This window comes from Homo sapiens, chromosome 15, assembly GCF_000001405.40.
Source record: "Homo sapiens chromosome 15, GRCh38.p14 Primary Assembly".
Classification (NCBI taxonomy): Eukaryota; Metazoa; Chordata; class Mammalia; order Primates; family Hominidae; genus Homo; species Homo sapiens.
In genome coordinates this window covers 22,258,348-22,283,152 of record NC_000015.10, presented here as the reverse complement: position 1 = coordinate 22,283,152, position 24,805 = coordinate 22,258,348, and the positions used below count along the sequence as shown (strand labels likewise).

At 45.3% G+C, this 24,805-nt stretch overlaps 1 pseudogene across 1 annotated transcript; it reads right to left on the bottom strand.

Moving 5' to 3' along the window:
• Positions 1 to 272: 272 nt before the first annotated feature.
• Positions 273 to 24,539, bottom strand: REREP3 (arginine-glutamic acid dipeptide repeats pseudogene 3; annotated as a pseudogene). The gene is made up of 3 exons (NR_033735.1): positions 24,275 to 24,539; positions 3,879 to 4,335; positions 273 to 354 (listed from the first exon to the last, which is right to left on the bottom strand). The product of NR_033735.1 is annotated as an arginine-glutamic acid dipeptide repeats pseudogene 3 (transcript).
• Positions 24,540 to 24,805: the final 266 nt, after the last annotated feature.

Genomic DNA, 24,805 nt, shown 5'->3' with positions numbered 1-24,805 from the left:
CAGAAATTCAAGGGACTACCCGAAATTGTCAAAACAGTTACTAAAGGGATAAAAACTTCAGAAATATTGTTTACAATATAAGCATTATGAGAGTAAGTGTTACAAAGCTGAAAAGATGGAACTAGTAACCCTCATTTCAGTGCTACTGCCACGAGGCAGTTAGCACTCAAAAGGTGAACTGGTAACCACGTCAACAGCGATGGAGTAACAATAAGAGATAGCCAATGGAACTGGAAAAAGAGAGAATACAGAGCAGAGCGAACAGCACATTAAAAATGCTTACCAGTTTGAAGTCTTGAATGCTACAGATGAAATACAGTGTGTTTGGCCTCCAACTCTCGATATACACACAGTCTTTAAAAGAAAAAGAAATTTTAACACAATGGAATTTACCTTTAAGGAACAAAGACAGGGCCCATAAAGCCACTGCATAAATGACAAAGCATATATCTTTTATTGTAAATTTTTTTCCAAAAGATGATATTAAATTGCAAACATCTTTAGGCTAAAGGAAAACAGCCCTTTGGTTCTTTCTGATTATTTTTCTAATAATTTAAAGAATCTGATGAAGCCTAAATTATTTTCTTCAGAGTCCCTGAAGAAGGGGAGGATTCCAAGGGATTATCTATATTCAGATGAAGACATTTAGATAAAAGAAACCGCTTGCTCAAGATCACACATCAAGATGAAATCTTGAGTATCTTATTCAGATAGATGCTCACATGTCTTCAAAAAAGAGAAACGTGCTACTATATTTGTAATAAATATTTTGTGAGGAAATAAATTAAATACGCAAAGATGACTAGCTTGAACATGCTACTACAATGACCTTTTCAGCTAATCAAAAAGAGAAAGAAAACTAATCTCTTATAGACAATTTGCCATTAAATTGTACTCTAAACACATTTTATTTTCTAATTGTAAACAAAACCAATGCCACTAATCAGAGATGGAATAAAGTAAACCAAACTGCATTTTCTTCAGGGAAGAAGGGTGCTTTCTTAAATTACATTTGACATGGCAGTGGTTGGAAAATAATTTTTGATTCTCTCAATGACTGGAGTGTAAAGCATTGCTTTTTTTTTTTTTTTTTGGCTGGTCTCCAACTCCTGGGCTCAAGCAATCCTCCCACCTCAGCCACCCAAAGTGTCAGGATTACAGGCATGAGCCACCATGCTTGGCCAAGGTTGCTTTTTAAAATGCCATGTTAAGACACTTAAATAAAAAGCAATGATTTTAAGGAAAGCAGTGGCTATAGAGAGAGTTAACCTCCTCCTACCCCCATATCACAACCTGAGATCATCATAAAGCTTAGGTCAGGAAAGTCTATGTATTATTTATTGAAAAGTAAAGGCACAGTCAATCAAATCTAGTAAGAGTGACCATAATGCCTCATTCATTCATTCATTTTGCATAGACAGGGCCTCACTATGTTGCCCAGGCTAGTCTCAAACTCTTGGGCTGAAGCTATCCCCCTGCCTCGGCCTCCCAAAGTGCTGATCTACCTAATGCTAAATGACGAGTTAATGGGTGCAGCATACCAACATGGCACATGGATACATATGTAACAAACCTGCACATTGTGCACATGTACCCTAAAACTTAAAGTATAATAATAAAAAAAAAGAGTTAACATATTTTGTTCCTTTCCCATGATTTAGATGTGCATACGCCCTAAACAAGCAATCTGTGGTAACTCTGATTCTTCAGTCACTAAGAAATTCTTACTGCCCAATAGCTGAGTCTAAATCAAAGATAAATACAGACAGTACTGTAACCTACACACATCATTTAATCCTCACAGCAGATTTTTAACTGCTCTAAAACCTCCACTCTGATCAATTTATATCACACGAATACCTTCTCAGTTAATCTTCAACCAAGAAATTGTAGTTGTGAATGCAAATTTGTCTGTATTAAGTTCTAGCACTGACTTTTTTGTGTGTGGGGGGGAGAGGGGTGGAGATAGGGTTTTGCTCTGCTGCACAGGCTGGAGTGCTATAATGTGAATGGGGCTTACTGCAGCCTTGCCCTCCTGAGCTCAAGAGATTCTTCTACCTCAGCCTCCTGAGTAGCCGGGACTACAGTCTCATCACACTCCCAGCTAATTTTTTACTGTTTTGTAGAGATACGGTCTCACTATGTTGCCCAGGCAGGTCTCCACATTGCTCAAGCAATCCTCCCGCCACCTCAGCCTCTCAAAGTGCTGGGATTACAGTCATGAGCCACTGCGCTCAGCCCCACTGACATCTTTTGAAATTTAAAAAACTCCTGTGTGGGAGAATGAAAATCTGGAACTTGATGTGAAGTTCAGAACAGTAACAGCATTCCTCAGTAAAATGATTGTTCCAGATTATGGACATAACACAGTAAAGCATTTTAATCTCTTTCTCAGAAAAACATAAAAATGGGCAGCTTTAATCTGCTAATTACATCTCATATGAAATTCATGTCACTCTTCAACAGTAAAAGTAACTCAAACAAAATGATTTCACCTAGGTTTTACTGGCTTCTGTAAGAAAATATCTTGTTTTTTTTTTTTTTTTTTCTTTTGAGACAGGGTCTTGCTCTGTCGCCCAGGCTAGAATGCAGTGGTGCAATCATGGCTCACTACAGCCTCGACCTCCCAGACTCAAGTGATGCTCCTGCCTCAGCCTCCTGAGTAGCTAGGACTACAGGTGTATGCCACCAGGCCCAGCTAATTTGTAAAAATTTTTTGTAGAGATGAGGTCTCACCATGTTACCCAGGCTGGTCTTGAACTCCTGGGCTCAAGCAATCCTTCTGTCTCCGCCTCCCAAAGTGCTGGGATTACACTGTGCCCAGCCTAAAAAAGGTGTCTTAATACACACAATACATCAAATGAAAAGGAAAGGCTTTGCTAGTGTTCAACAGGTTTTGACTCACTTGTTTCCCTGATCTCATCTAAAAGTTGAGTCTGTCTTTTTTTGAGCAATGCTGTAAGCCACAATATACTGGCATGACCATAATACATTTTCCGGAAAACCAAGCAGGTTAGATGACTTCTTCTATTATCGTTGATTAGAGAGCCTGAAGCTCAAATTTTTGGAAAAGGAAGTTAGCAGGAGCAATAAATCTCTGATCTTCAGGCCTTTTTTTTTTTCTTTTTTGAGACAGAGACTCGCTCTGTCGCCCAGGCTGGAGCGCAGTGGCGCGATTTCGGCTCACTGCAACCTCCAACTCCTGGGTTCAAGCAATTCTCCTGTCTCAGCCTCCCAAGTAGCTGGGATTAGAGGTGCACACCACCGAGCCCAGCTAATTTTTGTATTTTTAGTAGAGACAGGGTTTCATCATGTTGGTCAGGCTGGTCTCGAACTCCTGACCTCAGGTCATCCACCCACCTCAGCCTCCCAAAGTGCTAGAATTGCAGGTGTGAGCTACCATGCCTGGCCTAAAGGCCATTTTTAAAAAGTACCTCTCTAGAGTCTGGTCGATCCTGTCCCAAGGTAAAATTTCCTGTTTCCAAGAATCTTAAGGTTTACTTGTCTCCACCAAGCAGTCAATTCTGCAGGGTCACCACAGTCTCATTTATGATTGAAGATTAAAAACCAAGCATGAATTCAAAAGACAAAAAAATACTAAGCAGATGGTCAAGTTAGAGAACAAGCAGCATAGGAAAATAAGAAAAGAACTCATGAATGCATAAACCAGGACACAAGACCAAATTAAGGCAGACACAAGCAAGAAGTGGGTAAACCTAACTGACCAAAAGTGGGTCACATGTTTACCAAATTAAGTTTCCTACTCTTCTAGATTCCAAGCCTTCCTTAAAGTGTACAAAGTGTATTTATTTCACCTTAATGCTAAGATCATTCCCCCATTGTAAACACTGGCAAGACCCAAATGTAAGGCTCCTTACCTCCTGGTCTGTAGACAACATCATCTTCAGTGATGTAGGATGTTATCTCGCCGGTATCTGTCCTTTCATAACGAGACGTTTTCTTCGGTGGTTTCTTCTTGTTCTTCTTCGTGGACTCCTCTGTGGTGGCACTATTGTTGTCATTGTCCTCGTCTTCACTGTGATCACTCTCAGCATAATTTTTGGCTCCTCCTTCCAAGGTACAGCTCCGGCGTGGCCTTGAATTCTCACTCTCTCTTGCTTTGTCTCTTTTCTCTCTCTCTCAGTCCCAGTCTCAGTCCCGGTCCTTCTCTTTGTCTTTGTCTGCTGTCATGATTCGCCACATGCCTTCTTCTGTCCTCTCACGGCTAGGCCTCCGTGAAAGGTAGACAGTAAGCCTGGGCTTCAGTCTTCTGAATTTCTCACTCAATTCCAGGGAAAATCCAACCACTCCAACAACCCCAATGTTTCAAAAATGCTAGGAGAGAAAAAAGAATGGTTTTAATGCTTTTTCATATTTGTTTCCTAAAATAATGTTTTGTTAAATGAATCTCTTACTTGTTCACGCTTTACACCTAAAAACTTCACACAAGCCACAGGAGAAAAATTAAGTGTTAAAATTTTAAATATACAGTTTTTGGTCTCAGCAAATGGTCTGGGGTTTTCTACGACACCAATAATAAAAACTGTCTGAATGCCTAAGAGTAAACTACACTTCCTCTACCTTACATGTTTTCTCCTTTTTAAAGAAAAAGCAAAGCAATACCCTGGTTGACAACATATATTGGATATTATTATACAAAAGGAGCTTCATAACCCATAATATTAATTTAAAGAGGAAAGAATCTATAGTAAAAATTATTTCCAGGCCAGGCACTGTGGTTCATGCCTTGTAATCCCAGCATTTTGAGAGGCCAAGCCAGAAGGACCACTTGAAGCCAGGAGTTCAAGACCAACCTTGGCAACAAAGCGAGATCCCATCTCCAACATAAAATAAAATATTTCTACCTGAAAAAATAGTAATAGTTTGCAGCACTGTCAAAAATGTCTCAGGATAGGCCAGGCACGGTGGCTCACGCCTGTAATCCCAGCGCTTTGGGAGGCCGAGGCAGGTGGATCATGAGGTCAGGAGATCGAGATCATCCTGGCTAACATGGAGAAATCCTGTCTCTACTAAAAAATACAACAAAAATTAGCTGGGTGTGGTGGTGTGCGCCTGTAGTCCCAGCTACTCAGGAGGCTGAGGCAGGAGAATGGCGTGAACCCAGGAGATGGAGCTTGTAGTGAGCTGAGATCGCACCATTGCACTTCAGCCTGGGCGACAGAGCGAGAGACTCTTGTCTCAAAAAAAAAAAAAGAAAAAAAGAAAAAAAAGGCTCAGGATATTGCATAGAGCACTATATTCTAAAGATATTTTCTGGCTACTTCTACAAACTCCCAGAACTTCCTTCAAGAATAAAAATAATATTTAACTCAAACGAAAGTGAGAGATTCAGAGCAAGATTTTTCCACCTTCAGTTACATTTTACACATCTTTTCATCCTACCATTTTCAGTTATGTTCCAAGGAAAATGATCTCTCTAAAGATGTATTACTGGCCAGGCATGGTGGCTCACACCTGTAATCACAGCACTTTGGGAGGCCAAGGCGGGGGGATCACGTGAGGTCAGAAGTTCGAGACCAGCCTGGCCAACGTGGTGAAACCCTGTCTCCACTAAACACAAAAAGTAGCTGGGCACGGTGGCACACGCCTATAGTCCTGGCTACTTGGGGAGGCTGAGGCAGGAGAATCGCTTGAACCTAGGAGGCAGAGGTTGCAGTGAGCCGAGATCACACCACTGCACTCCAGTCTGGGCGAAAGACTCCGTCTCAAAAAAGAAAAGAAAATGTATTATCTCTGCCTTAACAAAACCTAACAGCTTCCAGAAACAACCTTCCATCTTTCGGGAATATTAAGTGGTTTTTACAGTCTTCCAAATTTCTACTATAAATGGTATCCCTAATAAAGTCCTCCCCAAAAAGAAACCCAACAAGAAAAGTCTGAGGTTTTTAAGCATCTGCAATGGGAAAAGTGAATCCCAAACTCCAACCCAACACAGTTCTTACAAATATTTTATAGCAGGAAAGAATTTTGTCTTTCTAAGTCAGTTTTGGAATAGACCTAACAATAAATTTATAAATAAATAATTCATCTTTTGTTTTTCTTATGATCTTCCCCAATACCCTATCTCACTTATTCCACAAATCTTTACTAAATACTATGTGCCAGATGTTAGAACTAAAACCACAATGGAGGAGAAAACTCATGGTCCTTGTTCTCAACGCTCAAATGCAACAAAAGGAGGCAACTGATCAATCTAAGAAGCTTCTGTTTCTCATGCAACTAGGGCGAGAAAGGAAACAGTGCATATAAACAAACAAAAGATTGGTCCTCTTTATTTAACAACCACAAACAAATCGGTTTGCAGTTATATGCTTCAGATGCAGAGAAAATTCTCTTTGGTCAGCCAGGCATGGTGGCTCATACCTGTAATCCCAGCACTTTGGGAGGCCGAGGTGGGCGGATCAAGAGGTCAGGAGATCGAGACCATCCTGGCTAACACGGTGAAACCCCATCTTTACCAAAAATACAAAATATTATCTGGGCGTGGTGGTGGGCGCCTGTAGTCCCAGCTACTCGGGAGGCTGAGTTAGGAGAACCACTTGAACCCAGGCGGCAGAGGTTGCAGTGAGCTGAGATCACGCCACTGCACTCCAGCCTGGGCAACGAGACTCCATCTCAAAAAAAAAAAGAAAGAAAAAAGAAAATTCTCTTTGGTCATGCTAAAACCGTAACAATTACCATATATTCTCTGCAGCGCTGTTAGGTCAAACCTCATGCCAGAAAAGACCTCCTCATAAGCATCTCAAATATCCTTAGACATTCAGCAAAATAGAAAGTATTTAGTCTTTGGGAGATAGGTGATGAAGGAGCAATCATGCATCATAAGCTACATTAGAAAAAGGAACGCATGTAGCACAAAACTAGATTACTTCCTTCTATGTAAGAAACATGCTTTCAAATAGGATTTCCATTTTCTAAACATATTTCAAGAAAAGGAAAAATTATCACTGCCTACAAAAGTTTTGCCCAGATCAACCGTCTGCTAAACAGATATTCATAAACTCCAAAGTCCTGGTAGGCTACTAGTGCTAGCAACTGAAAATACAGAGACGTACTACTTCCTCGACCAGTCTTAAGTTTAGAGCATGAACGAGCCAATCATGAAAGAAAGAAAATTATCAGGCCAGGGGCGGTGGCTCATGCCTGTCATCCCAGCACTTTGGGAGGCTGAAGCGGGCGGATCACCTAAGGTCAGGAGTTCGAAGCCATCCTGGCCACCATGGTGAAATCCTGTCTCTACTAAAAATACAAAAATTAGCTGGGTGCGGTGGTGGGCGCCTGTAATCCCAGCTACTCGGGAGGCTGAGGCAGGAGAATCGTCTGAACCCAGGAAGCGGAGGTTGCAATGAGCCGAGATTGTGCCATTGCACTCCAGCCTGGGAGACAGAGCGAGACTCTGTCTCAAAATAAAAAACAAACAAAAAATGATCAGCTAACACCATTGTTAAAATGTTCCTCTTTGACCCTGAAAACTCATCAGTGTCTACTGGGAGTCCAAAAAGAATAAAAAGCTTGGGCTGAAAACCTCTCCACTGCAACTGCAGTTTCGGACAGAAACACTTCTGATAACTTTAAGATGGAGCACCCAACACAAGAATGGATGGATGGATGGATGGATGGATGTGTGGATGAAACGATGGAAGCAGGGATGGATGACGGATGAGTGGGTGCATGAATGGAAGGATGGATAAATGGATGGACGGGTGGAGTGGGTGGATAGGTAGAATGGATGGGTAGATGGATAGAATTGGTGGGTGGGTGGATAGTGTGGGTGGGGGGATGAATAGTGTGGGTGGGGGGTGGGTGAATAGGGTGGGTGGGTGGGTGGGTGGATGGATAGTGTGGGTGGGTGTGTGGATGGGTGGATAGATAGGGTGGGTGGGTGGATAGATAGGGTGGGTGGGTGGATAGATAGGGTGGGCAGGTGGGTGGATAGATTGGGTGGGTGGGTGGGTGGATGGATGAATAGGATAGGTGAGTGGGTGGGTGGGTGGATAGACAGGGTGGGTGGGTGGATGAATAGGATAGGTGGGTGGGTGGATGGGTAGGTGGGTGGATAGGATGGGTGTGGGAGTGGTGGATGGTGGATAGACAGGTGGGTGGATAGGATAGTGGATGATGGGTGGGTGGATAGGATGGGGGATGGTGGGTGGGTGGATAGGATGGGTATGGGGGTGTGTGGATAGGATGGGTGTGGGGGTGGTGCATGGATGGATACATGGATGATTCAGAGATCAAATTAAATTGTCCTCAGCAACAACATTAAAAAACAAAAAATAGAAGAACAAGAAACTGTTCCCTTCTCTGAGGAGGCAGCCGTAGCAGAACTAACTGATTAAAAACCACCTCCTGAATTTTATGAGCATCAGAAAAGTCCAACTCCAAATTGGGCCATTCTGAGACAATTAAGTCAAAATATGTGAATTCATTTACACAAATATGGGAAGAAAAGGAGCTCCTGGTGAAATGAGAGGAGAGGTTTGCAGGGCCCTGAGGAAGAGGCAGGGGATGCCACCCAAGGGTCAGGGACCTGGAGACGCTGCAGGCCCTGTGGAGGGAGGGGCAGCTGGAGTCAACCAGAGAGGACACCAAGGGGGCAGTGGGCACAAGGAGTGAGAGAAGAGGGAGGTGAGGCAAGAGTCCCCCCACTCTTAGGGGTTGGGGGAAAAAAGGTAAATATGTGAGTATATATAAAAGACAATATTTTCCTCGTAATTTTTTTAAAGGTACATTCATACTGAAGCAAACAACAATACTATATATATTGTGATGTCTATAGCATAGATGTAATATGTACACTTGCCACAGCAAGGACCGGGAAGGCACCTGGTTGCAAGACAGTGACCAGCTTCTTACACTGCACAAGGCGGGGTACAGTATTAACTCTAAGCAGACTGTGGAAAGTTCAGTATCTACAGTGTCATCTCCAGACCAGCCACTAAAATCATGCAACAAAGGAAGCCAACAGATAAAAAATGGAATTCCATGAATCTGCTTAAATGAAGTTTTAGAAATGGCAAAACTAATCAATGGTGGAAAAGAAACAGAACAGAGGGAGAAAGAGTTTTTAAGGCCTGGGGGTTGGGGGTGGGAGAAGGTGGGAACTGACTGGAAAATGGTGGGAGGGAATTCTCTGGGCAATGGTCATACCGCACAAAACCCCTTCAAGGCTTATTGCTTCTGTCAAAACTGAAGTGGTGGCCGGGCATAGTGGCTCACGCCTGTAATCCCAGCACTTTGCGAGGCTGAGGAGGGCAGATCACAAGGTCAGGAGTTTGAGACCAGCCTGACCAACACGGTGAAACCTTGTCTCTAATAAAAATACAAAGATTAGCAGGGCATGGTGGTGCGTGCCTCTAATCCCAGCTACTCAGGAGGCTGACGCAGGAGAATTGCTTGAACCTGGGAGGCAGAGGTTGCAGTGAGCCAAGATCGCTGCATTGCACTCTAGCCTGACAGAGCGAGACTCCATCTCAAAAAAAAAAAAAAACTAAACCAAAAAAAACTGAACTGGTGAAAACACTCAGATGACACACTTAAAATATGTGCATTTCACTAAATGTAGGTTTTACCCTTAAATGAAAAGAAAAAAAGGAACCCCAACAAAATATTAGACTGCGGTACTGAGGACTATCAGTTACACACTCTGTGCTGAATGAATAAAAACGAGCCGCTGGGGCGAAGGCAGGGAGAGGAGCTTTGTCACCAAGAACATGGATCCCGCCCAGGGCCGGCCGCGCACTTGGGGCAGCCCCGGGCATCAGCAGAGCTGGAAGAAGCCGGGGATGAGGTCACACTCCCTACTTCTACCAGCCGCAGAGTCTGGGGCTCTCTTCCTCGTCTCATTTCATATTCCTCAGGTTCTTCCTCTCACTTTAAATGATGAAGTCAACACATAAACAATTTTAACTTCACATAATAAAAATAGCCACTCACTGATGTCATCTTTGTCAAATTATTTATACTTAACCTCTCTGTGTCTGTTTTCTTATTGCTAAAATGGGGACAAAAATAGAACCTAACTCATGGAGCTGTTATGAGGATTAAATGAAATACATGCGACACCCTCAGAGCAGCCTCCTGCACCTGGGGAACACCGACACACCCCCACCGCATCCCCCTGCAGCCTGCTGCCCCTCACCACACACACCTGGGGAACACTCACATGCCTCCACCACATGGCTCCCCTGAGTCTGCTGCCCCTCACCGCACACACCTGAAGAACACTGACACGCCCCCACCGCATCCCCCTGAGCCTGCTGCCCCTCACCGCATCACACCTGGGGAACACCGACATGCCCCCACCGCATCCCCCTGAGCCTGCTGCCCCTCACCGCACACACCTGCAGAACACTGACACGCCCCCACCGCATCCCCCTGAGCCTGCTGCCCCTCACCGCATCACACCTGGGTAACACCGACATGCCCCCACCGCATCCCCCTGAGCCTGCTGCCCCTCACCGCATCACACCTGGGGAACAATGACACGCCTCCATCGCATCCCCCTGAGCCTGCTGCCCCTCACCCCATCACACCTAGGTAACACCGACACGCCCCCACCGCATCCCCCTGAGACTGCTGCCCCTCACCACATCACACCTGGGTAACACCGACATGCCTCCACCGCATCCCCGAGCCTGCTGCCCCTCATCGCATCACACCTGGGGAACAATGACACGCCTCCACCGCATTGCTCCCAAGTCTGCTGCCGATCACTGCAGGTGCCTAAAACACTGACACGCCCCCAGGCATCACTCCTCTCTGTAGCCTGCTGCTCCTCACCTCATATCTTTATTAGCAATTGTAAAAGGAAAAATAACATTGATAAATTAACTTCCTCAATACAATATTAATGGTATGCTGGTTTAAAAGCCTTCCACCTATTTAAAAAACAACCCACACATATAAGTGCTTTGAGAAATGACACACTGCACGACGTGTGGCACAATGCAATGTGGAAAGTTCAGAATCTACACTGTCATCCCTAGACCAGCCACTAAAATCACGCAGCCAACAGGAATTCCATGATTCTGCTTAAATGAAGTTTTAGAATAGGCGAAACTGATCAGTGGTGGAAAAGAAACAGAATCGAGGAAAAGAATAGAAAAAAGGCCCGGGAGTCGGGGTGCAGTGAAGGCAGGAACCGACTGGAAAATAGCCTGAGTTCTCACATATGAAAGATACTCTACCAGGAACCTGGAGTCAGGAGAATCTCCCAGAGGTGGCGTGCAAGTTCTGTGAGTATCTATTTGTGTCCGGGTGGAGTTTACACACCACACAGTCCTTCCCATACAACCTAAATACTCCGTGCTTTCAAAGTATCTCATTAATTTTACTAATTTTTTTTTTTTTTTTGAGACGGAGTCTTGCTGTTGCCCAGGTTGGAGTGCAGTGGCGCCATCTTGGCTCACTGCAACCTCTGCCTCCCGGGTTCAAACGATTCTCCTGCCTCAGCCTCCTGAGTAGCTGGGATTACAGGCGCCCGCCACCACGCGCGGCTAATTTTTGTATTTTTAGTAGAGATGGGGTTTCACCATATTGGTCAGGCTGGACTCAAATTCCTGACTTTGTGATCTGCCTGCCTCGGCCTCCCAAAGTGCTGGGATTACAGGTGTGAGCCATAGCGCCTGGCCAATTTTACTAATTTTACTAATAACTAGGTTGTTAGTATTATTCTCAGGCTTCTAAATTTTATTAAAATGCCCAAAACAGAGTAGGGGTGAGGGTTGTTCCTCTTCCCCATACACTAAATCTCTTCCTATTTCAAACAGTTTAATCTTTTTTCAAGTCTAGACTATAATCCTTCTAGCACTAGTTCCTATATATACATGTTTTAATCAGAGTCAGTAAGAAACCTAAGGATAGGCTGGGCGTGGTGCCTCACACCTGGAATCCCAGCACTGTGGGAGGCCGAGGCGAGCAGATCACCTGAGGTCAGGAGTTCAAGACCACCCTGACCAACATGGTGAAACCCTGTCTCTACTAAAAATACAAAAATTAGCCGGGTGTGGTGGCAGGTGCCTGTAATCCCAGCTACTCAGGAGGCTGAGGCAGGAGAGTCGCTTGAACCCGGGAGACAGAGGTTGCAGTGAGCTGAGATTGCACCATTGCACTCTAGCCTGGGTGACAATGCGAGACTCCGTCTCAAAAAAAAAAAAAAAAACCTAAGGATATAATTTCTTTCTGGTAATTCTATTGATGCTTTTATGCAAATGTCCCAAATAATTAAACAAATGATTCCATAATGCTCCCTTCTTAAGAGTTAATCTAATGTCACTGTTGAAAGTATAAAAGAAATACAAATGAAACCTTAATTAGAATGAGTAACACTTTTTCAATTTATTGACACTATGTAGCAAACTAAAACAGACATTACGTAGCAAACTAAAACATCGAGGCTTACCATGATTTAAAGTTTTAAAAGCATTAAATAAATATAATCCAGACAAACTTACATGCAGAACTAAAAATGTTACTCCATGGAAATCAACTCATCCACACACATGCCTCCACAGGAGACGAGGCCACCAAAGCATCATGATGCCACGCAGCTTCTTCCTAGCTCTCAGCTAACGCATTCACAACCTTGTATGCATGCAACCCAGGTAACCTAAAGCCCAACTCTCATGTCAGAGAGTTTTTCCCAATGAAAGCTTTTGTAGGCCAGTTTTTTCTTCTTCTTTTTCTTTTTTTTAAAAATAGAGATGGGGTTTTGCCCTGTTGCCAGGCTGGTCTTGAACTCCTGGCCTCAAGTGATCCACCTGCCTTGGCCTCCCAAAGTGCTGGGGTTACAGGTGTGAGCCAGTGCACACCTTGCCTTGCATGCCAGCTTTTGAAAAATATAAAGTTAAAAATAAGAAAGTAGGGCCAGGCACGGTGGCTCACGCCTGTAATCCCAGCGCTTTGGGAGGCTGAGGCAGGCGGATCACAAGGTCAGGAGATCGAGACCATCCTGGCTAATACAGTGAAACCTTGTCTCTACTAAAAATACAAAAAATTAGCCTGCCGTGGTGGCAGGCACATGTAGTCCCAGCTACTCGGGAGGCTGAGGCAGGAGAATGGCGTGAACCTGGGAGGCGGAGCTTGCAGTGAGCCGAGATCGCGCCACTGCACTCCAGCCTGGGCGACAGAGCGAGACAGTGTCTCAAAAAAATAAATAAATAAAAATAAGAAAGTAGAATACAAATGTTAAAATTCAAGTTAAACTTCACCAGAATCTACAGCTACATAATATATGAGAGGTAGTCATTGGATAAAAGCAAAAATTAAAAAGATAAAAAGTATGAGTTGGTAACAGGAGTTACTACTGTGGCCATTGAAAAGAAAAACCAAAAGGGAAAAAAGCACTTGTATTATGGCGGCTTTTCATCCACCCAACACCTCCTGCCCCTAGGTTTAACAGATGCTCTACAGGTGAGCCCCTAGTAGGTGGTAGGAACTGCTAGGCTCTAGTGATTTAAAAAGTCAGTCTCTGCCAAAGTCAAAGTCTTGGGCAGAAATAGAACACAGCACATAAGGTCTAGGATAAGGATGCAACAACAAAATGACTGGTATCTACGAACCAATAATGGGGATGGGGGTATCACAGGTAACCAGTGTCCAGTCTGAGAAAACAGCCTCTCCAAGGACACAGGAGAGAGAAAACACAGTGAGTAGGAGGAACTGCGCCCACAGACAGAGGTGTGTACGGACAGGCAGGGGGCAGATCACAAAGGCCATGGCACATCATGCTAAGACCCGTAAGCCAGAAATGAGGCTCCTGCATGCATTTGACCAGGACCATTCCAGTGACACAAGGGAACTGATGTTAGAGACTAAGAGGGGGCCAGTGAGACCAGAGGGGGTTATGGAAGCAGACCCAGGCCAGGGAGACCAAAAAGGGTTACAGTGGGCAGACCCAGGCCAGGAGACTAGAATGTTAATGAGGCTAGACCTAGGTCATGATCAGAGTTGGGCACATTAGTGTTATTTCTAAAAAGAGTTAAGGTACCAATGCTTCTAAACTATTTAATCAGAAAATAAAATGGAGCAGCTACGAAGTTGTTTCTTGTAGACTTTACACAATGACATCAACTGACTTGCATTCTAACACGGATTTCTGATCAGAAGCAAAGTGGAGTTAGGCTAGGCTGGGGCCATGCTGGTTTCCTGAAGACTATTCTAATCTATGTCCTGCTTCCCTGGCATACTGCCTCAAATCTAAGCCTACGTCCAGAGAAGTGTGCCATGTATGTGACCACCATGGCAAGTGTGGTAGGGAGAGAAACGGGGGAGAAAGGGGAAGTGGGAGGGGAAAGGAAGGAGAGGAAGAAAGGAAAGTACAGGGGGAAAGAAAGGGAAACCCTGAGGGAACACTGAACCGGGGCTGTAACGGTGTCACTGGAGACAAATCTAAAGATATTTAGGACTTGGTCATAAACCAGCTGGAGGGGATAAAAAAGGGCATCTCTATGACAGGCCTCGGCCTCTGGCTGGAGGGGATTAGAAGGGAAGGACAGAGCAGGTCAGGGTTAGTGTCTTGGTCTGTTTTGTGTTCCTGTAACAGAATACCACAGAGCAGGTAATTTATAAAGAAAAGAAATGTATTTCTTACAGTTCTGGAGGCTGCAAAGTCCAACAGTAAGAGCCTGCATCTGCTGAGGGCCTTCCTGCTGGGACATCCCATGGTGGAAGGCAGAAGGGGAAAGGGCGAGAGAGCCAGAGAGCAAGCCAGCAAGAGGAGCCCCACACCGGCCTTCACAAAAACCACTCTCAGGTGACAAGGATATTACCTCATTGTAATGGCAGTGGCAGAGCCCTCGTGACCTACCCACATCCCAACACTGCTGCACTGGGGATTAAGTTTCTAAGATGCAAACTTTGGGGGAAACATGGGAACCATGGCACGTTGGAAGACAGAAACCCGCCTTTGCCACACTGAGCTACTGGGAACCTTCAGGGGCAGCTGGAGGTCTGGTTGAGCCTTTAGGTTTTTTGGACTCATCAGTGAGACTGGCAAAACCACAGCTAAAAAGGTCACGAATTATAAAGCAAAAAGAAAGAAGAAAAAGGAGAGAAGTCTGAGGAATAATATCATCAAAAGTGCAGGAAAGCAGAGGAGAAACTGAAAACAAATGTCCAGAGAAGAGGAAAACCAGCAGTGCCAGAACTGGCGGAGGCAGCGAGATCCCAGCCGGCCCGGCACACCCAGGCTGCAGAAGCCACCATCCGGAGCAGGCGCCTCGCAGCCATATTTATTCCAAACAAACCCCCCCCAAAAAAACCCTTCCTGGGGATTCCTCTGTGTAGGAAACCCACAAGAACAAATGAGAGGTAAGAAACAAAACCAAGAGTATCCAACGAACCTGGCCAACATGAGGTCATCTGGATGGAGACATCCATGAAGCAGAACGCAGGGTCCAGAAGTGAACCCAAATAGATGTGGGAGTAAACGAGAGACAGCTCAGATCTGGGAGGGAGAGCAGAGGCTATTTAACAGATGGCACTGGGACAAATGGGCTGTCATCTGGAAAATATAAAACTAACTTTGTACCTTATACCAAATCAATTCCAGATGGATCCGTCTGATATAAAAAGAGAATGACACAAGTTCCATACCAGGCGACACTGCAGGGGGCTGTCTTTAGAATGTACGGGGCATCATGTGTATTATGTATGCACAATACATGCATATGTACAATACGTATGATGAGAAACGCATTATACATTATGAATTATGACACGAAACCCAGAAGCCACACCAAAAAGGACTGATAAATATAGCATTAAAAAAAAAAAGAAAAGAAAATAATTGCATGGCAAAGTCAAAAGACAAGATTAAAAACCCAGAAAACAAATACATGCAATTCCTACTAAAGATGATTCCTTGAAACTTATGGAGTTTCTAAAAACTAAGAACCCAGCCAGGCGCAGTGGCTCACGCCTGGAATCCCAGCACTTTGGGAGGCCGAGGTGGGTGGATCCCTTGAAGTCAGGAGCTTGAGACCAGCCTGGTCAACATGGCAAAACCCCATCTCTACTAAAAATACAAAAAAAAAAAAAAAAAAATTAGCCAGGCTTGGTGGCACGTGCCTGTAATCCCAGCTACTTGGGTGGCTGAGGCAGGAGAATTGCTTGAACCCGGGAGGCAAAGGTTGCAGTGAACCGAGATCACACCAGTGCACTCCAGCCTGGGTGACAGAGTGAGACTCCGTCTCAAATAAAGTAAAAATTAAAAAAAGAAAAGACCAACAACTCAACAGAGATGAGCAAAGGAGACAAACAGCTCACCAAATATCAATGAAATAGTTTACTTGAAACAATATTCAACCTCATTCCTAAGATAAAACTACACCACACCAGGGTAAGTCTCCACCTAACTGAATGGCTGCAACCAGCAAGTGGCTAACTCACTGGGCTCGTTAAAGGTTAGGGAAACAGGCCTTGTACATGGCTGTGGGAATTCTAAAAGCAGATCTCGGCAACAGGTAAAATAATTACAAAAGCACAGACCGTTTGACCCAACTCCACTTCCAGATTTCTACTTCACAGGTAGACTTACCTGAATGTGAAAGGTCCCATCTGTTGTCTGTAACATGTAGGTGATATGTATATAATATGTAAATGACACTGCACTGGTTTGTAATAATACGATGGAACAAAATGTTATCAACAGGGCCTGATTAAATAACACATTTGTGCCACTGAACAAGCTCTTTATGGACTGACAGAGAAGCCTCATCTGGAAAGACTGCCAAGAGAAGACCAGGAGGCACCTGTGTGTGCAGTGGGACATCAGGTACCTACTTGTAAATACATATGGTTTATCTGGAAGGTTCTAAGAGGAAGTGTGCTGTCTGCAAAGAGGGGAACTGGATGGCTGGGAAGAGGGTAAGAAACATGTTTTTTACATGTGAAATAAAAGTTATCAATACCCAGGGAAAGGAGAACCTTGCCTGACCCTTAAAACGTCCTGGGTGCCCTTCCCTGCCATCTGTGGGAGAAGGGACTTTCCATGCAGCAGCCTCTGGCACTTTTCCATTTCCTACCTCTGGTTACATTACCGATTTAAAATCTTTCTTCACTGAAGAGACCTGCTGAATACTTTTCTGTAAAAATTGTTTTTGTCAAAGAGGTTCAAGGCAAAAGGCAGGTCACAGGAGGCTGAGGAATAACTGAAAGTGAGGAACTAGAGACAGCAGGAGTGACTTCACGAAGCGTGGCCATGTTACAGCATGAAGAACAGCGTGTATGTAAGATCTTACGTGTATCTAAGCATGTGTATGGTTTCTTGAAAGAACGTATGAACATATATGTGCACAAACACGTCTGGAAAGACACACAGCAACCTATTCGCAGGGACCAGCACCACCCAGCGGGATGGAAGGCCTTTTCTGCTAGCTGCTCAGGGAGGCCTCGGTGGTGAAGCGACCAAGAGAAGAGGGGCTGGTAGAGATGAGTGGTGTTAAAGCCGGGGTTTTGTTGGCTGGTAGAGGTGAGTGGTGTTAAAGGCGGGGTTTTGTTGAAAATACAAATCAGAGAACCATTATGGTTTATGGGTCAGGTGAGGCTAGAGGTCAAAGACTGGACTGAAGGAGGGAGACAGAAATCACAAAGTTCAAACGCTGACCTACCAGTGACCCTGAGGAAACAGAGGGCTGTGATCAAACCAGCGGTGAGGGACCAGCCTTACACAGAAAGGAAACACAAGAGAAACTAAGGAGGTGTCCAGGCCCAGATAAGACATTTCAAGGGCGAGTGATTTTTCTGTGAGCCTGCAAAGCACCCACCCCACTGGCAAGCTGGGTAGTGAATGGCGGGTGGGGTCCACAGTGCCCCTCTCAGGGTGAGCGGCCAGGTCCAGGGCTTTGTGGCCCACATGTGAAATCCTGTCCTGCTTAATCATGCTCTGATCAGACATGACACACGGCTGCTAGAAGAGCAATTCTGTCTTGCTTCTGTCTTCTCACTTTAAGTAGCTTCAGGTCTTTTAACCCAGAACAAAACAGAAACTGCTAAGAATTAACGTATTTTGTTCATTCTGGATGATCTCTTTTTACCTTTGACAGGAAATGTTTCTACAATGTGTCAGGTCTCTCTACAATAAAAACATCTACAGAGACTGGAGAAAAAAATTACCTTGCTAAAACTAATTTCTAAACTGAGTATGTTAAGACTGAAGTCCAAAACCAAAAGCCCTTCAATAATGTACCCTAATTAAGTAACTTGCAGCTACACTTCTTACTTAAACTAACAAGATAACTACTGTTCCAACTGGCAGTTTTTCAAAAAAAAAAAAAAAAAAAAAAAAAAGAAGGATCTTTTTCTAAAATCTAATCCCTCTAAGGTGGGGGGCGGGGGAGAACACTAAAGTAGAAATTTTTCCTAGCATAACAAAAATTTCTTCGTCATCAATTCAACAAAAAAAGATGCCCCAGTGCAAGTACCTCTTACTATTCTATTCTACTAGTTGGACTCTGAAGTTTTAAGACTCATGTAGATTTGTTGGAAAAGCATGTTAAACCAAAAGGTAGATGAAGTTTACAGGACTAAAGAGAAAATGGGTAAACTAAAGCCTAAGTAAACGGTAAGCTTCACCTGCAGTGACAAGACTAACGCAGATGCTTATCTGCAATTATCTTCGCACTTGAACAAATGATACCATCATATTACTCATCATACCCAAATATGACACAGAATTTCCAGTTTCTACAACTGTGCTCCAGAACACAGTAGAAAACAGCAAAACTCAAATGTGTGTTCAACTAAATGAGGCAAGTGTGAACTAGCTCATATCAAAGTAAATGGCCTTCATTTAATGTGAGGGCAAAGGACAGTAATTAAAGTACCACATAATCCAAGCCATTACACAGTAGATGGCAGTGCTACTGCAGCTCCATCATGGCATCAACAAAAATACTACCACCAAGAAAGCAATCAGAACTGCATCCCAGCACGGTCACGCACTGCATAAGGATGCTTCCACCACTGACAGACCACACGGACCAGGGATCCTCTAAGATTCTAATAATGCATTTTTACTGTACCTATTCTGTGTTCAGATACACAAATACCACTGGGTTACAACTGCCTACAGTATTCAGTACAGTAACACACTGCACAGGTTTATAGCCGAGGAGCAACAGGCTCTACAATGTGGCCCAGGGGTGTAGCGGGTTCTGCCACCCATGTTTGTGCAAGTACACACTGTGGTGCTGACACAACAAGATCAGCTGAGGACGCTTTTCTCAGAACGTATCTGTGTCCTTAAGCAGCACATGACTCAATTCCCGTATCATGTACTGTACTGTACTATGAAACAGCACAGTGTTTTAGACCTGTAACAGCTGGCCAAAAAATAAAAATAAAAATAAAGATCCACTATGAGTTAGAATATTATTTCCTGTATCTCCTGTAATGCAATAAAAAAAAAAGCAACGTATACAAAGACAGCCAGAAGACTTAGTTCACAGACAAGTTCATAGACCAGGCGGTTCCCAGCTGCCCAGGAGAACGAGTGTTAAAGATGGAGACAAAACAGTGCTTTTAGGTCACAGCTATTCCTTTAACCATCAGTGACAACAGCTGCTCCAGAGAGAGTCTGTTCTTATGGAATGCTAGATGACTCTTGGCTGCAATCGGCCCAGAGTTTAGGGCTAAGGGAGAAACCACTTTGCCTGATAACCAGACGATGAACTATCCCATGTTTCACCTCTGAACTGCAATGATTTTCAACAGCTTACAAAAAGCAACAAAGCAAAAGCTGTTGCTGATCTTTAGACAGACATTTTCAGCAGGTTTATTCACAGCATTTGTGTCTATCTGAAGTTTCTACAGTGCTTACCCTCAGGTACTCACAATGCAAGCCACAGAGAGTTCCAGAACTGTTCCACAGAACATATCCCTAAAGGAAGACCACCACCCCCACCACACCCCTGCACCAAAAACTTTAAAAACATCATTTTTTTAGTACCCCCTTAAAAAAATCAGCCCCATGAAGCAGTTCATTATCCATACCCTGAGGATGCTGAAACACAAACAGCAGGGCCCTCACAGCTGAAGCTCAGGCCCCTGCCCACCAGGCCCTGCTCCCCCATACCTGTCGCTGACCAAATGCACCAGCCCAGAGGCTCTGTACTGACAGCACAGAGTTCCCTGCCACCTCCACCTGCAGCTCCCCAGGCTGGCTGAGGCCACACCTACACAGCTCTGCACACCGCACCTAGCAATCTACCAGGTGGAACAGGAGCCCTCAGGACAGCCCTGCACCGACACGTACGCCAGCGGTCCACAGAGGATGCTCTAAGTGTTAGGCACAGTGCACGGGGATGAAGATAAAGAGCCTATTAACCATGAAGACAAAAGTCTACAAGCAAGCATGTGAAGCAACCCCAAGGTCCACCCGCTGAAGAACGCGTGAGCACAGCTTGGCCTCTTCACACGGGAACGCCACTCGGTTGCGAAAGAGGAGGAAGTGCTGACACACCCACAGCATGGAGGGGCCCTGACATCACCAGAGTGAAGGAAGCCAGTCACAAAGGGCCACACGGTGTGTGGTCCCCTTACATGCTACGTCCAAAAAAGACACCCATAGAGACAAAAAGGGGTGGTCAAGCGTTGGGGGGAGGGGGAATGGGGAGCGACTGCTAATAGGCACTGGGTTTCTTTTTCGGGTGATGGAAACATTCAGTGGCAGTGGTCGTGCTTGCACAGCTATGTGACTATACTAAAAACCACTGACTTCACTTTAAAAGGGTGAAGTATATATAGTATATGAATTCTCTTTCAATAAAGCTGTTATTTTTAAAATAAGAATAAGCATGTGCACATACCATAGCATATTTATTATCACTGACAAAAAGAAAAAACTGCAAAGGATTTAACTATTTCCAAAACTATGGTCTTTTATTTACGTAAAATAGGCATTGGAAAGTCTAAGCCAACTATCCCCCACAGTTGGCACCCTGGAACAGGCGACTGCAGGAGCAGCAAGCAGCAGCATTACCCGCCACTAGGCAGAGTACAACTAATTCAGCCTATCATCAGTGTGGCTACTGGAAGTATTTTTCTTTCTGAAAGTAAAACACAGGTATGTCTACTTTATACTCCCCCTACTTTTACACCTCTAGAAGTCCTCAGAATAATAAGAATTTTTAAATAAAAACACAGGGTTTGGATAAGGAATTGCAAATAATGACTATTTCGGAAAATACAGTTAAAATAAATTTAAAAAAAATTTTTTGAGACAGGGTCTCATTCTGTTACCCAGGCTGGAGTACAGTGGCATGATCATACCTCACCTACAGCTTCTACCTCCTGGGATCAGGTAATCATCCCACCTCAGCCTCCCCAGTAGCAGGGACTACAAATGTGTGCCACCACTCCTGGCTAATTTTTGTATTTTTTGTAGAGACAGGGTTTTGCTGTGTTGCCCAGGCTGGTGTTGAACTCCTGGGCTCAAGCGATCTGCCCATCTTGGCCTCCCAAACTTCTGGGACTACAGGCGTAAGCCACCTTGCCAGGCCAAGAAATAAAAATTCAAATTGGATAAAGAATTTAAAAAGCAATTAACATTTGTATCTCTAAAAGAAAAACACAAAATCTCTAAGCTCAAAGAGTTCAAAACAAAATACAACAGGCTTACAAAAGAATGCAGACAGCTTTAATGGGGCTGCTTTTTCAGGAATATTTAGAAACTAAGAAAGCAAAATACTTAAATGCTAGATTTCATCTGAGTTGCCTGCTCCAAGCAATAAAGGGTTCATCAACGTCAGCCTTAGCTTTGAAGCAGCACAGAAACGAAAGTTAAATGAATGGGGCTGAAATTAGCTTAGCAGTGACACTAGGGATGTAGGGAAAACTAGAATCCACGGTTGTTTTGAAATACGGAAATGACAGCCCAAGGTTACTCCTTATAATAATCCTCTCATTAAGGGTCACAGAATCTTCCAGTTTTCCAAAGATGAAACAAAAAAATTGTCAGCTCCAAGTAACTATTCAAAAACCAATTTAGAACACATAAAAGCTCATAGCCAAGATGTAAATAATTCAATCTATAAAACATGTCTTGCTTTAAGTTAGCATACCTCTATAAAAATAAATGTTAAAAGCCGGAGAGGCCATAAGGGAGAAAGCAGCATTTACTGCACCTCTGCTGGAAGCTCACGTATGTTACCTATGTAATCCTCAACACAAGCCTGTGAGGTAGGTTACATCCCCTCCACTGCAATAGGGACAACACTGAGAGGTAGAAGGATCCTGGCCAAGGTTGCACGGCTGGTAAATTCAGTGCCCATGGCCTTGGGGCTGGGGGGGAGGGGGGGCGGTGCAGGGGTGAGCTGAGACGAATAGATTAGCTCCTTCATCTCGTCAAAGGGATTTCTGCTTGACAGAAAGGCTCTCCTATAAAAGACATTTTTGTTCCAGGTTTAGCTCACTGCCCAACCAAAATAATAATCACCACTGTCTGCATAAAGTGATGCACCCGTGCTCACACATTAAGAATCCCCTTAAAGAGATGACTTTACTGTAGCAACAGCCATAGAAATTATTAGTGGGTGGAATCTACACAAAGGAGTAACAAACAGCACATGAAACTGACCATAAATGACTGAGATTCCATGAATAGGCGACAATTTGCTGGCATGTCAAGGCTTACATGGATTACTAGAAACAACTACATTTCCTAGGACCCTCTGCGCAGCACACAGCCTGAAATGTAGGGTGGGAGCTGAACTTAAAAAGAAAACTATAGTCTTGGAGATAAATGTCACACACAAAAAAACCAATGTATGTACCACAACCACTTCTTAGAGGAAGACATTAAAAAAGAAAAGCCACAACCTAGGATTGAAAGACAGCTTTAAAAACACACACAAAAAACCTAGCAAACCAGACGGTGTTCTCAGCCACTCATAAAAGCAAAGTCTTATCAAAGTTTTAACTTCAAAGAGCTTAAAGACACTGCAAAGAGGCACTCAGCAAGACTGGTCCCGACTGCAACCTATTCCCTTCCAAAAAAATAATCAGTTTGTAATCTAAATACACATCACACCAGGTCAAAGTAATCTCTTCCGGTAGCAAAATTTTGGCACTGGATTGCAGGGGCCTGTTCAAAATAGCTGGAGCCCCAAACACTTTGCGTTTTCAGTTCTGAAACACTTAGACAAAAGTTCACATCGCTAAGTGGATGGCCAGGATGCCCTTCCGGTTCAATTTGGAGACGGGAGATCTTTAACCTAACCTAACATTCTTTAAGGCACCAGTGCCCTCCTACTCAAACGTCAGCCTGGGTTTTGTTTCTAAGGGTCGCCAATAAATAGGTTTCATGGGCATTTAAGGCTCTAGGAGTCTTTTTCTGTCTGTTACAGGTAGCCCGGCTCTTAAAAACGATCACACACAACGCTCACAGGCATGTGCACATTCATAAATACACACGTGTGCACACATACATACCCACATGCGACACACGCGTACATCATACAGCATGCACGTGTCCATAAATGAGCTCACACGGACAGCCACGTCCCGCGCGCAGGCCCCCAGCAACACAGGCCCCAAGCAGGGCCTCCACCTGTATGGAGTGAGCAGCTCAGAAGGCGAAGGCCGGTGCCTTGCAATGTTCACCTCACCCGCGGCTTCTGGCATGGCCACGGCTCCTTCCTTTTCTAGTAATAAATACCAGATTTGGGGAAACCAAGGCGCCGCAATGTGTGTTATCTGTCACCCAAGGGTCCCATTAAGGGGACAAAGGCCTTATCGCGTTTGCAGCCGGCTAAGTGAAAGGAGGGCACTTGGGACTGTGAGCTCTGACCGCGGACGTCTCCCGCACCGCTCCCGCGGATCCTCGGACCCAGGGCCCCTGCAGCCGCTCCTGCCCAAGGGGCGCGAGGCGGAGATCTGGAGGCTTTGGGGCACGCAGAGGAGACTGAGGGTGTGGGCTCAGGGCCGCGGTGCGGTCTTGGGGCTTGAAGTGCAGACTTAGGGTGAGGAGTGCGGGCTTAGGATGGGGGCTTGGGACACGGGGTGGGGACTTCGGATGTACGGTGGAGGCTTGGAGAGGTGGGGCACACATTTGGGATGCGACACAGAGGCTTAGGATGGGGCTTGGGACACGGGCTGGGGGCTCGTGGTGCAGGCTGGAGGCGTGGGTGGGGGGGTCGCGGCGCAGGCTTGGAGGCCTGGGTGGGGGCTCGCGGTGCAGGCTGGAGGCTTCGCATACAGAGTTGGGGATGCAGGGTTGGGGTACAGAGCAGAACTCGGGGCGGGCACGCACCTTGTGGCAGGCCAGGCAGGTGGCCCCCGCCGCCGTTCAGGCTGCTCTGGATCTGCGTGAGCTCCTGGCACAGCACCTGCTTCTGGTGGAAGCTGAAGGCGCGGTGGTTGGAGGACATGGTGAACGGCAGCAGGAACTCATCGCCCGTGCGGCCCTCGTTGAGCTGCAGCCCGTAGTTGTGGATGATGGAGTCACGTGCGTGAGCTTGCGGTAGAGCACGCCCGCCGCCTCGCTCTGCTCCGAGCCCAGCAGCGCCAGCGACACCAGCAGCTTGCTGCGCACCACCTCGTCCGTCAGGTTGGTGAGGCTGCCCAGGTCGGCCGGGTTGTTGGCCTTGATCTCCGAGTCGCGCAGCGAGTGGTAGTCCTTGCGGGCCAGGTCCTCCAGGCACGAGCCGAAGAAGCGGACCTCGAGCGGCATGCACAGGTCCAGCAGGCCGCATAGGAACTCCACGCGCTGAGGCGACGGCAGCTCCGAGAACCAGCGGTACACGCCGTCCCTCTGCAGCGGGCAGCGCTTCTCCACCACGCT